This window comes from Homo sapiens, chromosome 7 (assembly GCF_000001405.40).
Source record: "Homo sapiens chromosome 7, GRCh38.p14 Primary Assembly".
NCBI lineage: Eukaryota > Metazoa > Chordata > Mammalia > Primates > Hominidae > Homo > Homo sapiens.
In genome coordinates this window covers 40883103-40898465 of record NC_000007.14, presented here as the reverse complement: position 1 = coordinate 40898465, position 15363 = coordinate 40883103, and the positions used below count along the sequence as shown (strand labels likewise).

The window sequence follows — 15363 nt, the reverse complement described above, 5'->3', positions numbered from 1 at the left end:
TGGGATTACAGGCGTGAGCCCCAATGCCCTGCCGAGTGTTACAGTTCTTAAAGATGATGTGTCCGGAGTTTCTTCCTTCTGGTGGGTTCGTGCTCTTGCTGACTTCAGGAGCGAAGCCGCAGACCTTCGCGGTGAGTCTTACGGCTCTTAAACGCAGCAAAGCAGCATGTCTGGAGTTGTTTGTTCCTTCTGGTGGGTTTGTGGTATCTCTGAACTCACGAGTGAAAGCTGGAAACCTTTGCAGTGAGTGTTATAGTTCATAAAAGTGGCACGTCCAGAGTTGTTCAGTCCTCCCGACTTAAGTTCATCACTACTGGTGAGCTGGTGGTCTTGCTGGCTTCACGAGTGAAGCTGCAGACCTTCTGGGTGAGTGTTACAGCTCATAAAGACAGCGTGGACCCAAGGAATAAGCAGCATCAAGATTTATCTGAAAAGCGAAAGAACACACCTTTCACACCGGAAGGGAACCTGAGCGGGTGGCCACTGTTGGCGCAGGTGGCCTGCTTTTATTCTCTTATCTGGCCCCATCCACATCCCGCTGATTGGTTCATTTTACAGAGAGCTGATTGGTCCATTTTACAGAGAGCTGATTGGTCTGTTTTACAGAGTGCTGATTGGTCCGTTTTGACAGAGAGCTGATTGGTGCGTTTACAAACCTTTAGCTAGACAGAGTGCTGATTGGTGTGTTTACAATCCTTTAGCTAGACACAAAGGTTCTCCAAGTCCCCACTCAACCCAGAAGCCCAGCTGGCTTCACCTCTCATTTGCTGTCTTTGGAAGTCCTTCAAGCTCAGTTGGAGCCACCATCCCCCACTGAAGGCTCTTGGGGGCCCACTGCAACGGCCACACAATGGGATCTCTCTGCTTCTGAGTGTAACACAACTCACTCTTCCCAGCCACCAGAGTGTCACTCTACAACATAACTTGGATCCTATCCCTGAATGGTTAAAGCCCTTCTGTGGCTTCCTCACGTGCTGGAAGGTAAACCCCAAATATACCAAATGTGTGTGTGTGTGTGTGTGTGTGTGTGTGTGTGTGTCCAGCTTTATTGAGGTATAATTGACAAAAATTGTATATATTTAAAGTGTGCAACATGATTTCTTAATGAAATATCAGTAGTTTAATTCTATTTTTGTTTCCTGTGCTTTTGGGGTCATATCCAAAAAAGTCTTTGCCCAATGTCAAGAAGCTTTTCCCCTATATTTTATTCAGTAGTTTCACAGTTCCAGCACTTACATTTAAATCTTTAATTCATTTTGAGTTGATTTTTGTATGTGGTGTGGGATAAGGGTTCAGTTTCATTCTTCTACATGTGGATATCCAGTTTTTCCAAAACCATTTATTGAAGAGACTATCTTTTCCCCGTTGTGTGTTCTTGGCACCTTTGCCAAAAATCAAATGACCATAAAGGTGTGGATTTATTCTGGGCTCTCTAGTCTGTTCCACTGGTTTATATGTCTGTTTTTACACAGTGCTGTACTGTTTTGATTACAGTAGCTTTGTAGTGTATCTTGAAATCAGGTTATGTGATACCTCCAGCTTTGTTCTTTTTGTTCGAGATTGCTTTGACTATTTGAGGACTTTTGCGGTTTCATATAGATTTTAGGATTGTTTTTTCTATTTCTGTGGAAAATGACATTGGAATTTTCATTGGGATTGCGTTAAATCTATAGATTGCTTTAGGTAGTGTATTAGTCCATTCTCACACTGCTAATAAAGACATACCTGAGACTGGGTAATTTATAAAGGAAAGAGATTTAATTAACTCACAGTTCCATGGGGCTGGGGAGGCCTCAGGAAACTTACAATCATGGTGGAAGGGGAAGCAAATACAACCTTCTTCACATAGTGGCAACAAGGAGAAGTGCCGAGCAAAAGGGGAAAAGCCCTTTATAAAACCATCAGATCTCATGAGAACTCACTCACTATCATGAGAACAGCAGCATGGGGGGTAACCGCCCCCATGAATCAATTATCTCCCATTGGTTCCCTCCCACAACACGTGGGGATTGTGGGAACTGCAATTCAAGATGAGATTTGGGTGGGGACACAGCCAAACCATATCAGGTAGTATGACTATTTTACCAATATTAATTCTTTCAGTGCATAAACATTGGATATCTTTGCATCAATTTCTTTCATCAATGTTTTGTACTTTCAGTGTATAGATGTTTCACTTCCTTGGTTAAATTTATTCTTAAGGTTTTTTAAATTTTTAATGCTGTCATAAATGGGATTGTTTTCTTATTTTTTTTCAAATAGGTAATTGTTAGTGTACAGAAATACAACTTATTTTTGCATATCAAATGTACCCTGAAACTTTACTAAATTTGTTTATTTGTTTGAATCAGATTTTTTGGTGGAATCTTTAGAATTTTTCTGTATATAAATCATGTCACTTGCAAACAATTTTACTTCTTTCTTCCAAATTTGGATCCCTGTAATTTTTTAAAAATCTAATTGCTCTGGCTAGGGCTTCTAGTACTATATTAAATACAAGAGACAAGAGTAGACAGCTATATCTCAATTCCAATCCTAGGGGAAAAGTTTTCAGCTTTTGGCCATTAAAAATGATATTAGCTGTTAGATTATCATATGTGGTTTTTATTATGTTGAGGCCCACAGTACCATACTGTGTTGATTACAATAGCTTTGTACTGTATCTTGAAATCAGATTGTGTGATGCCTCCAGTTTTGTCCTTTTTGTTCAAGATTGTTTTTACTATTTGAGGACTTTGTGGTTTTGTACACATTTTCAGATTGCTTTTTGTATTTCGATTTTCTTTTATGTCTAATGTGTTGAGGTTTTTTATTATAAAAAGATGTTGAAATTTTTTCAAATTTTTTTTCTGTGTCTGTTCAGATAATCAATAATTTTTTATTTCATTCTGTTAATATGGTGTATCACATTTACCTATTTGCATATGTTGAACTATCCTTGCATCCCACGGATAAATCCCACTTGATCATAGTTTGTGATTCTTTTTTCAATTTTTTGTTTAGGTTCAGGGTACATGTGCAGGTTTGTTATTAATATATAGTTAAATTGCATGTCATTGGGGTTTGGTGTACAGATTATTTTGTCACTCAGTAATAAACATAGTACCCAATAGGTATTTTTTTCTGATCCTCTCCCTCCTCCCACCCTCCACCCTCAAGTAGGCCCCAATGTCTATTTTCCCTCCTTGGTGTCCATGTGCTCTTATTGTTGAGCTCCTACTTATAAGTGAGCACATGTGGTATTTGATTTTCTGTTCCTGTGTTAGTTTGCTTAGGATAATGGCCTCCAGCTCCATCTATGTTGCTGCAAAGGTCATGCATAATTTCATTCTTTTTTATGGCTACATAGTATTCCATGATGAATATGTACATTTTCTTCATCCACTCTACTACTGATGGGCATCTAGGTTGATTTAATGTCTTTTCTATTGTGAATAGTGCTGCAATGAACATACACATTTATGTGTATTTATGGTAGAACGATTTATATTCTTTTGGTTATATACTCAATAATGGGATTGCTGGTTCAAATAGTAGTTCTATTTTAAGTTCCTTGAGGAGTTGACACATTGCTTTCTACGTGGCCGAACTAATTTATATTCCCACCAGCAGTGTATAAGTGTTCCCTCTTCTCTGAAACCTCACCAGCATCTGTTATTTTCTGACTTTTTTAATAATAGCCATTCTGACTGGTGTGAGATGGTATCTCAATGTAGTTTTGATTTGCATTTCTCTAATGAATAGTGATGCTGAGTATTTTTTCAGATGCTTGTTGGTCACATGTATATCTTCTTTTGAAAAGTGTCTGTTCATGTCCTTTGTCCACTTTTTAATGAGGTTGTTTTTTGCTTGTTGATTTCAGATCCTTATAGATTCTGGATATAAGACCTTTGTTGGATTCATAGTTTGCATATATTTTCTCCCATTCTGTAGGTTGTCTGTTTACTCTGTTGATAATTTCTTTTTCTGTGCAGAAGTTCTTCAGTTTAACTAGATCCCATTTGTCAATTTTTGTTTTTGTTGCAATTGCTTTTGGCATCTTCATCATGAAATGTTTGCCAGGTCCTATGTCCAGAATGGTATTTCCTAGGTTTTCTTTCAGGATTTTTGTAGTTTTAAGTTTTGCATTTACTTCTTTAGTTCATCTTGAGTTGAATTTTGGGGTCCATTTTCAATCTTCTGCATATGGCTAGCCAGTTATGACAGCACCATTTTTTTCTGAATAGGGATCCCTTTCTCCCAATGCTTATTTTTGTCAGCTTTGCTGAAGATTGGATGGCTGTACATGTGCAGGATTATTTCTGGACTCTATTCTGTTCCACTGGTCTATGTGCCTGTTTTTGTATCAGTACCATGCTGTTTTGGTTACTGTAAACTTAACCTTGTAGTATAGCTTTTTTTTTTTTCTTCTTAAGACAGAGTCTCACTCTGTTGCCCAGGCTGGAGTGCAGTGGCATGATCTCGGCTCACTCTGCCTCCCAGGTATAAGTGAGTCTCATGTCTCATTCTCCCAAGTAGCTGCAATTACAGGTGCCTGCCACCATGTGCAGCTAATTTTTGTATTTTTAGCAGAGATGGGGTTTTGCCATGTTTGCCAGGTTGGTTTCAAACTCCTGACCTCAGATGATCTGCCCACCTTGGCCTCCCAAAGTGCTGGGATTACAGGTGTAAGCCACCATGCCCAGCCTCTTGTAGTATAGTTTGAAGTCAAGTAAATTAATGTGGCCAGGTTTGTTCTTTTTGCCTAGGATTGCCTTGGCTATTCAGGCTCTTTTGTGGTTCCATATGAATTTCAAAACAGGTTTTTTTACTGATTCTGTGAATATTTTTTTAAAAATTCTTTATTTATTGATTATTCTTTGACCCATTGGTTGTTCACTAGCATGCTCTTTAATATCCATATATTGGTTAATTTACCAATATTCCTCATGATATTGTTTTCTATTAATAGTTTGATACAATCGTGGTCAGAAAAGATACTTGGAATGGTTTTAGTCTTCTTGAATTTGTTAAGACTTGTTTCATGGCCTACCTTATCCTTTGATTTATCCAGAAGAATGTTCCATGTGCATTTGAAAAGAATATGTATTCTGCTCCTGATAGATGGAATATTCTTTTTATATCTGTTTGATCCATTTGATCTATAACATTTGAACAGTATTGTTCAAATCCACTGTTTCCTTACTGGTTTTCTCTCCAGATAATCTATTCATTGTTGAGAGTGGGGTATTGAAGTCCCCTACTGTTATTGTATAAATGTCTATTTCTTTTTCTGTTACTATTAGCTTTATATATTTAGGGACCCTGATGTTGGGTGCATATATATTTATAATTGTTATGTCTTCTTGATGAATTGACCTTTTTATCATTATATAGCGACCTTCTTTGTCTTTTGGGACAGTTTTGACTTTAAGTCTATTTTGTCAGATATAAATATATATAAATATAACCACTCCTGCTCCCTTTTGGTTACTATTTGCACAAAATATCTTTTTCTATTCTTTCTCTTTCCACCTGTGTGCCTCCTTAAAGCTAAAATGAGTTTCTTGTAGACAGCATATAGTTAGATCTTGTTTCTCAAAATCTATTCAGCCATTCTGTCAAGTTACATTTAAAAGTAATTACCAGGTCTGGGAACAGTGGCTCATGACTGTAATCCCAGCACTTTGTGAGGTCACGATGAGAGGATCATTTGAGGCCAGGAGTTTGAGAGCAACCTGGGCAACACACCAAGACCCTAGTTCCACAAAAGAAAATTTTTTTAATTAGTCAAGTGTGGTGGTGCACACCTGCTGTCTTAGCTACTTGAGAGGCTGAGGAGGGAGGATTGCTTGAACCCAGGAGTTTGAGGCTGCAGTGAGCTATGATCACAGCATTGCACTACAGCCTGGGTGACAAAGCAAGACCCTCTCTCTAAAAAAAACTTTAATTTTAATTAAACAAGAAGTAATTACTGAAGGTAAGAACTTAATGTTGACATTTTGTTTATTGTTTTCTGATAGTATTATAGTTCCTTTATTCATTTTTCCCTCTTTCTGTCTTCTTTTGTGATTTGATAAATGTTCATGGTAGTATGATTTGATTTCTGTCTCTTTATCTTTTGTGTATGTACTATAGGTCTTTGTTTTATTTTGTGGTTATCGTGAGGCTTACATTAAACATCTTATAGCTATAAAAGCCAATTTTAAGCTGATAATAACTTAATTATGACCACATATAAAAACTCTACACTTTAACTTCTCCTCCCTCCACACTTTGCTATTGATGTCAAAATTTACGCCTTTTATATATTGTGTATCCATTAACAAATTATTGTAGCTATAGTTATTATTAATACATTTATCTTTTAACTTTATACTGGAGTTAAAAGTGACTTATTCACCACTTCTACAGTGTTATTCTGAGTCTGACTATATTTTTATCCTTATGGTGAATTTTATATATTCTTTTTTTTTTGTTGAGACAGAGTCTTGCTCTGTCACCAGGCTGGAGTGCAGTGGCATGATCTCGGCTCACCACAATCTCTGCCTCCTGGGTTCAAGTGATTCTCCTGCCTCAGCCTCCCGAGTAGCTGGGATTACAGGTGTGCACCACCACACCCAGCTGATTTTTGTATTTTTAGTAGAGACAGCCTTTCACCTTGTTAGCCAGGATGGTCTCAATCTTCTGACCTCATGATCTGCCTGCCTCGGCCTCCCAAAGTGCTGGGATTATAGGTGAGAGCCACCTCACTTGGACTAATTTTATATTTTCATATGTTTTCAGCTTGTTAGCATAATTTTTTTCAACTCAAACTCTCTTTAGTATTTCTTGTAAAGTAGGTCTAGTGGTAATGAACTCCCTCAGCTTTTGTTTGTCTGCGAAAGTCTTTGTCTCCCCTTAATTTTTGAAGAATGGCTTTGCTGGGTATAATATTCCTGATTGGCAGTTTTTGTTCTTTTTTTCTTTCAGTACTTTATATATCATCTCACTTTCTCCTGGCTTGCAAGGTTTCTGCTGAGAAATATGTAGATAGTCTGAAGAGGATTCCCTTTTATGTGATAAGTTGCTTCTCTTGTGCTGCTTTGATAATTTTCTCTTTGACTCTGACTTTTGGGAATTTAATTATAATGTGTCTCAGTGAAGATCTCCTTACGTTTAACCTATTTGGGGTTCTTTGGACTTAGTAGATCTGGATATTTATTTCCCATTCCAGGTGTGAGAAGTTTTCTGTTATTAATTTTTAAAATATGCTTTCTGTTCCATTCTCTTTCTCTGCTCCATTAGAACTCCCATAATGCTTATATTGGGTTCCCTTGATTGTGTGTCGTAAGTTCCATAGACTTTCTTGACTCCTTTCTTTTTTTTTCCTCTACTTGGGAAATCCCAAATGACCTGTCTTTGAGCTTGCTAATGCTCCCTTTTGCTTGATTTAGTCTGTTGTTGAGCTCTTTATGAAATTTTTCAGTCTAAACATTATGCTCTTAAATTCTAGAAATTTTTTGTTCTTTTTTATGGGTTGTCTCTCTTTGTTGAATTTCTAATTATGTTCTGTATTGTTTTCTTAGTTTTGTTTGGTTTTCCATCAGTATTCATTTGTATCTCACTGAACTTCTTTAAGACAATTAGTTTGAATCCTTTGTCAAGAGGTTCATAGATATCCATTTCTTTAGATTACTGGTACTTCATTTTGTTCCTTTGTTGGTGTTATGTTTTTCTGATTATTGATGTTTCTTGTGGCTATGCATCTGAAGAAGTAAGTGCCTCCTCCAGTCTTTACAGACCATCTTCACCAGGGAAAGCCTTTTACCAGTCAGCCCATGCAGAGGTTCTGGGTAGGCTAACTGGTGGGGCTTGTGGGCAGGCTTGCTGTTGGAGTCTTCAGGCAGGATGGCCTGATGCCTGAGTCAGCAGGTGAGCAGGCCTGGAGCTTGAGCCCAAAGGGGCTGGCCTGGTACTAGGGTCCACTGGGCTGAGCCTGATGACTGAGTCCTCAGATGGGGCAGAAGCCTGGGTCCATGGGGGTGAGCCAAGAGCATGGGACAGGGAAGCGGCCTGGACATGGGGGCATACCTAGAGCCTGGGTCCACAAGGGTGAAAGCCCAAATATTAATATATTTATATTATTATAAATATATTAATATTTATATATTAATATTTATATTATATAACATAAATATTTAATTTATATTATATAATATAAATATTTAATTTATATTATATAATATAAATATATAATATAAATATTTAATTATATAATATAAATATAAATATATAATATAAATATTTATATAATAAATAATATAAATTCAAAAACTCAGCAGCTTACACACTCTTAGGCTTACCTCTCAGTTGCTCACCTGTCTCCTCATTATGCCCCATATGGCAACCCACACAGAACTTTTATTCATTCAATGATTGAATCAGTGCTCATTGAACAACTACTATATGTCAGATATGCTGTCACTGCTAAGTGAACGATGCAATATGACTGACCTCATGGAGCTTGCATTCTACAGGACAAAGGCAGAAATAAACACAAATACCCAAATAACATGGTTGTCAGGTATCACGTTGAAAACAAGGGGGTAAAAGGGTAGAATCTGAGTTGTGGGACTATTTTATATAGTGCATGAGACTTAGTCTTTGAACTTAGACTTTGAACTCAGGAAAGTGGTAACAGGGATAGTCTTTTCCTGGGATTTTGCTTGTAAAAGGTCCAGTGGAATAGAACCGTGAGAACTGTTGTCAGTAGGTAATAAACTACTTGACCTATATTAATAAGTCAAAGGAAGTTTGAAGGGAGTTTCTTAGGCAAGAGATTGGTGATGAGATAATTTGTTATGTGTCCACATGGGATTCCACAGAAAGAGATCTCAGCCTGGGGCATAAGAATCTACTCTCAAGCCCTCAAGGTAGTGAATTATGGGGGTCTGAGCATGTGTTCTGTTTCTGATTCTGAAGACAGCTAAGGCTCATGATCAGGCCCTTAAAAAGGCCCCTGGGAACTACTTTTGATGGCATTTCGGTGCTTGGGATAAGGCATAACCTTTCCAAGATCCTGTCTCAAAGCCCATGCCAAAGTTAACAGTACTCTGAGACACTCTCTCCTCCCAGCAAGGTGGATCCACAGAACACATAACCCTCAAGGATTGCCACTAGCAGTCCTCCCAGGGAACACTTCAGACCATGTGTTTCAAGACCAAGTCCAGCTAAAAGCCACAGACTGATCCCCCGTACTTTCCAGATGTCCCTTGAGAGCCATGACAGCCAGCTGGCTGGCCTACCCACCAGGGTCCACGCTTTTACCAGCTGTGATCCACCACTGCCTGCCCAGCCCATCGATGTACTTCAAGGCACAGCTTAACTCCTGGACCAGCCTTCTTCCTACCACCCTCCTGCCCCATTCATCACAGTCAAGCTCCGGCGCATTTTCATTTTCTTGCCACTTTTGTGCCAAAAGAAAATCAGTCAAAGAAAACACAATCCATGCAGCAGTATCAGGCCACAGGCTTTTTGTCTCAGCCTAACTGACAGCTAAGGGAGGAGAGCAGCAGAGCCAGCCTAGCTGAGCAGCAGCCATGGCTCTGGTTCCAGAAACAGAAGTGGACACTGCCACACCCAGGTGCATCTGAGTCCCCTTCCAATGCATACTCGGGAGTAGGTGACCTGGGCTCTTCTCAGACTTCCTACTTGACACCTCCCTTCCACCTGTAATCCTTTGGCCCTGACTGATGCAGTGAGCAGTACCTATCTGTGGTCTGCCATAAATCCTCCCAAGTGCAGGTGCACCCAACCCATGCCTGTAGTCCCTGCTTGGGTGTTCCAGTTTACCACACCCAAAGTGCACCTTGCCTTATTATGTGACATGGTTATTTTTTTTAAACCTATGAATGTGCCTTAAAGCACAAGGCTTAGAATGTCATTAATTTTTGCTTCCTATGCAAATCAAGCTTATTTTAATTTTTCAAACACACTGCTGGAAAACCTGATCTTGGGTTTATCTCTACCTCTACCTTTCTTCTTTTTTTTTTTTTTGGATGGAGTCTCACTCTGTCGCCACACTGGAGTGCAGTGGCATGATCTCGGCTCACTGCAACTTTCGCTTCCCGGGTTCAAGTGATTCTTCTGCCTCGGCCTCCCTATCTCTACCTTTTGTGGTAGAAAAAGTACCTTTCTTTCTACTTCATGGAGAAGCATTTGCATATATTCCCAGAGTTTTCCAAGTCCATGTTGGAAGCAGAGTAGGAGAGGAAGCCTGCTGTAGGAGAAGTGACATAGATTTAGGAGTGAGATGCCCCAGGTTTCAGTCGAACATGAGTTCCTCTCGGTCTGTGTAGCCACTTTATTCTCTGACATTCAATATTTTATCTGCAAAATGAGGGCATGGATGCCTATGGAGCATAGGGTAGTAGAAAATGCATTGGCTTTGGAGTCAGATGTACCTTGTTTTCAACCCCAGCTCTGCCACTTCAGAGATAAAATAAAGATGCTGCATGTAGAATGCTTAGTGCCACACCTGCCATAGTGAGCCCTTTAGTGGCACCTGACCCTGCTGAGCCCTCCCTTGTTTGAAAGCACTCTCCAACCCCCACTTTCCGGTACCACATTCCCCTGCTTTTCATTCAAATTTATTGGGCACTTCTTTTCAGTGTCTTTACTGGCTCTGCCTTCTCCTCCCAAACACAAAATTTTGGAGTTGCTTGGAGGTTAGTTCCAGAGCCCTGTCTTTTTCCTCTCTTTCAGGAAGCTCAGCCCTCCCACCTTTGTCTCTCTAGTCCAGACAACTCCCAGGGCATTGAAAGGTCTTGGATAAACATATGCCTACCTAAGGACCTATTTGAACTTCTCAAAATCAGAACTCTTGTGTCTTCCAGCCAAAGCACCTTCTCACCCCTGTGTATTCTGTCTCAGTCAATACTACCACTGTTGGCCTGGTTGCTGAATCCAGAAACTTAGGAGACTTTCTTGACTCCAACCTCTCTGTCTTCACTACTTTTCTAATCCATTATTGAGCTCTGTGATTCTATGTTAAAAAGACATTTTGAATCTATACTTGTCTCCATGACTCCTTCCACTACCCTTGTAGCAATGAAGGTCATCACAACCTCTTGCTCTTACTACTACAGTAGTTTCCTAACTGGTTTCCAGCTTCCAGACCTTTTCCTACCCAACACAGTCTCCAAATATGTATGGTCTTTCTGACTCATAAGTATGTCATATCACTCAGCTGCTTAAATTCCCCTTGGTAACTTCCCATTTTATTTAGAAATATTAATAAATTCAGACTATCCTTCAGGACTTAGAATGTTCTTTATCATCTGGCCTCTGCTTCAATCTTCAACTTCACTACATGCCACTCTTCCAGCCACTGGTTATACTGGTCCTCTTTTCCACCTTGAGGTCCTCAAAGGTTCTATTCCATGGGCTTAGGACTCCCTGCCATTTCTGGTGTACAGGACCTTTATCTAATATTGGACTCAGGTATAGGTCCAAGGGAAACGGAAGTAGGAGATCCCATGGATTTATAATTGTTCCTACTCTCTCAAGCTACATGTTTGACCAAGAGTCAAGTTCCTGAAGTGGTTATTTTCCCTGGCAGTACCCTGATTTCTCATATAAATAGACTTTTCTGGGCCTGTCCTTCCAATAGTTCGGACCTGTCAGTAGGTCTGAATTACAGGGGTAGAAATAATCCTAAAGCATATGCTGGGATGCTTACTGCATACCAACATGGGTATCTCCAAATTATCTTGCCTGTTGGAGTTAATAATTCTGGGAGTTGGCTAGTTAGCAGGCCTAGGAGAATGACCACTATGGAGGCATCGCATTCTGGAAGAACTTCTTAGTGTATTAGTCAAGCCATCCAATATTTTGGCCCAGCTTATTTCTTCATTCACTATTCTACCCACACACATGCATCTTGCTATCCACACACAATTCATTGCTTGATGAATTTACCTTTCACAGCTCTGTTTTCATTCTCTACCTGTAATACTTATTTAGCCACTGTGGAAGCCACACTCTCCTTCAAGTCCCAATCTGAATGTCAACTCATGAATACCCTGAATCTAAGTGTTCATCCCCACAGTAGCTTAGTGTTGTCTTCTTGGAGCTCCAAGTGATGGTGCTTATTTCCCGCTAGTGGCCCCTGCCACATCCTACCATGGTACATCAGGCACCATGCTGTGCATTTTATGTCTTATCTAACATAGTACCTACGAGATAGGGTACCATCAATAGCCCCAGTATACCCATGAGGAAAATGAAGCCTAGAAAATAAAGTGGCATGTCCACATTCTTAATTCAAACCCAATCTGTTCTACTCTATCATGCATTGTTTTAGCCATTGCACTATTTTGCCTCATTTCAAAGCATGACTCTCCATATTCCTTGAGGCTCATGTTTATATATACTAGGCCTCCACATTATATGAAACACTGACACTTTCCAGGCCACACACTGTTAATAGAGTGGTTTCCTATTCTGCTTCTGTAAAGTCTCTTAAAAGTCGGGGGAAAGGTAAAGAAAGGTCCATCCACAACAGCATTAACTATCTGTTATAATGAGAAAAAGTTGAGAAATTGATATCTAAATGTTTCCAACACCAACATTAGCTTAAATTCTCATCCCCACCCTTGGCCTAGGAGGGTCATACCAAGACAAGTCAGATTGCCCTTTGGAGCCCATTCATTAGAGAAGGGAAGTGTTTTATGTGGCCTCAGCTTGGGATGAAATAATGATTGCCTTTCCTCCCAGCAGGTCTCACCCCATCTCAGGAAGACGTCAGGGGTCATCAAAAGGACAAACTCTGGGTTGATGAGTCATTCTGGGAGAAGGCCAATCATAGGATGGAGGTGGGCTCCAGGGACTGGTGAAAGGAAATGGTACCTTTTCCTTTAAGAACTGAGGTTGAATTTAACGTCAGTCTGATGGCATGAAAAACCACCTGGGCTGTCTGGCTGGGGATCCAGGAAAGGGAACAAGGGTCCCCAAAGAGGAAGACTTATAGACTAGTTTCTGCCATGGCCCTTGGGAAATCTTTGCTGCCAAGTCTCAGGATCACAGGTGAGGCAGGTGTCAGAAATATAGGCCCGTTTTATTTTTTCCATTTGTAAATCTGGCTCCATTAAAAGAAGGAAGAAGTGGTGGGAAAAGTATACTTTTGAGGAGGCAGTAGAGCGGTGAGGCCAACAAACTCTGGTTTCTCTCCAAGCCAGTACATCTGCTGTGGTGCCCTTGGAGGACCGTTGAATCATACGGTGAAAACGCTGGAGCCTGCAAGTATTACAGCCTTTTCTGCTTCTACTGCCGTTACCACCATCCTCAACACCAATACCATAACCTCGGCCACTATTCCAACTACCACTACTATCACTAGCCACTCTTTAGTGTCATTGAATTATTTGGCAGGTACCATTATAGGTGATCTGATGTTTATTTTTCATTAATGCATATAACAGGAATTATTATCTTTAATAATGAGGAAACCAAGGTTTAGAGAGGCCAGGCAAGCTGACCAAGGCATACTTCTAAGTGGCAGAGCTCTTACCCAAGTACATCTGACACCAAGGCTCTGCTCTTAACCACTATGACAGATGAAAGATTCCCTTTGGGGCAGAGAAGAAGAGTTCAGATTAACAAACCACAAACTGTAAAGTAACGATAAGTCCTACTCCACATCTCTCATCCCCAACTACTCTCCTGCTCATTCATACTTTGTGACTCCATTGCACTCTTTAGAATAACCAGTCTCTCTCCTCCTTTGGGGCTATCACTCCCTTGCCTGTTTCTACCAAGCAAGAGGTGATTGTCATGTTTCTTCTAAATTGCTATAGCCATTCTTGCCTTCTCAGCAGGTCATTGTGACCTCTGCTTGAAAAATGCGGGAAAAAATTCAGGAAAAACTCTCATCCCTTAATATCAATCACTGCGGAACAGGCGGGCCAAATATTAACATGTGAGGATTTAGCCAAGCAAGGAGCATCTCCAGCCTCATCATAATGGCATCCAGAGAGCCCACAGCACCCCACTGAGTTCAGGGAAACTCAGTCATAAAGGGACATCCCATCTCTCCAGGGATCCAAAACCATTTGTTCCCTCACCAGAGGGTTATGAGCAAAGGAAACATATTTGAGTCTGGAAGCCTGAACATGTTTTTCAATCATGAGCAAAGCATTAATGTTGATACAAATCTGGACAGGGAGACAGTCTGCTGAAGGTTCCTGAAGTCTTTTCTCCACTATGCCAGCAGCTGAGGAGAGAATCAGCCAGGTAGCAGTTTCCTATTGCTGGCTTGGAAAGTTTTCCAGTGGACTCTTCAAGCATAAATATATTGGAATGAGTCTGATCCCAGGAAAAGAACCAAATGTCAGGAAAGTGGAACATAAATCTTGCCTAGGGTGGAGATTCCTTGACAGTAAGATTTTTTTTTCACTAGTGATACAAGAGAGAATGTGAAAGTTCAGCCTGATTTTGTGAGCTATGATCATAGTATTTCTCTTTCTGGAAGAAACTTGGCATTGCCTCCAGAGTGTTTCTGTGATTTAAGCTTATGGAAACTGAATTTACTGGAGACTCTGTCTGTGGTTGCATATCCTGCTCCCACAGTGGGGATCCAGTTCAGTGGGATATGCCCTGAAGTAGGTAGACCAGGATTGACTGATGTTTTGGGACTGAGATAGGGATAAATCAATCCACTGCTTATACTTATAGTAAAACACATGGGAAGTTAAGCATGTTTACGTTACAAAATTCATACATTAAAACAGGTAAAGTACATCCTGGAAAGTCCCACCCTTAACTTCTAGAAGGCCAATTTAACACTATTTACAACAATTATAGCAGCCAACATTTAACAAGGCCTTATTCTGTAGTAAGCATTTTGCATGTATTGTGTCACTCAGTCATCCTGACAATTCTGTGAGATAAATAGCTATATTATGCCTATAGGTAAAACTGACACAGAGAGGATCAGAAACTTTTCTAAGTTCATACAGAATATGGGTCAGAGTAAAGATCTGACCTTAGGGTGTTAAACTCCAAGGCCCATGCTGTTAATTTCTATGTAATGCAAACTAAGGATCAAATAAAAGAAACTCGAAGAGTCCCAATTTAATTGTTGTTCTCCATTCTCTAACCCTTGAGATTCTCAAGGTCGCACATGAAGGTAGACTGTAGGAATAAAGAACAGCTGAGTTACTGGGGCCAAGGTCCCAAATCACCAGAGGCAAGCTGTTTTTTATTCCAAATATGCAAGGGAAAGGTCTTCACCTCTTGCAGTTCATGAGCTGGACAGATACCTAATTAAGAAGCCTGTACTGTTAAGAAGAAAGCATGGTGAGTTCTGATGAACTGACCACACAAACTTAAGTTGGGAACACC

At 40.1% G+C, this 15363-nt stretch overlaps 1 protein-coding gene and 1 long non-coding RNA gene across 5 annotated transcripts in view, besides 1 other annotated feature; one reads left to right on the top strand and one right to left on the bottom strand.

Moving 5' to 3' along the window:
- SUGCT (succinyl-CoA:glutarate-CoA transferase) overlaps nucleotides 1-15363 on the bottom strand; it is a 903812-nt gene that overhangs the window by 140351 nt on the left and 748098 nt on the right. The window lies entirely within an intron of this gene.
- LOC105375242 (uncharacterized) overlaps nucleotides 1-15363 on the top strand; it is a 41876-nt gene that overhangs the window by 1841 nt on the left and 24672 nt on the right. Inside the window, exon 1 of one of the 3 annotated variants that reach the window (XR_927192.3) lies at nucleotides 904-981. The exons of the other annotated variants lie outside the window; for them this stretch is intronic. This is a non-coding gene — a long non-coding RNA (uncharacterized LOC105375242). Of the gene's footprint in view, nucleotides 1-903; nucleotides 982-15363 lie in introns of those variants that run through there. 3 annotated transcript variants of the gene reach the window in all.
- Nucleotides 12465-13664: an enhancer, noted in NCBI's record as "BRD4-independent group 4 enhancer chr7:40924401-40925600 (GRCh37/hg19 assembly coordinates)". NCBI's record gives its function as "activates an origin of replication core promoter dependent on BRD2, P300/CBP, MED14 and CDK7 cofactors, and independent of BRD4, by STARR-seq in HCT116 cells {active_cell/tissue: HCT116}" and the evidence as "EXISTENCE:reporter gene assay evidence [ECO:0000049][PMID:35650434]".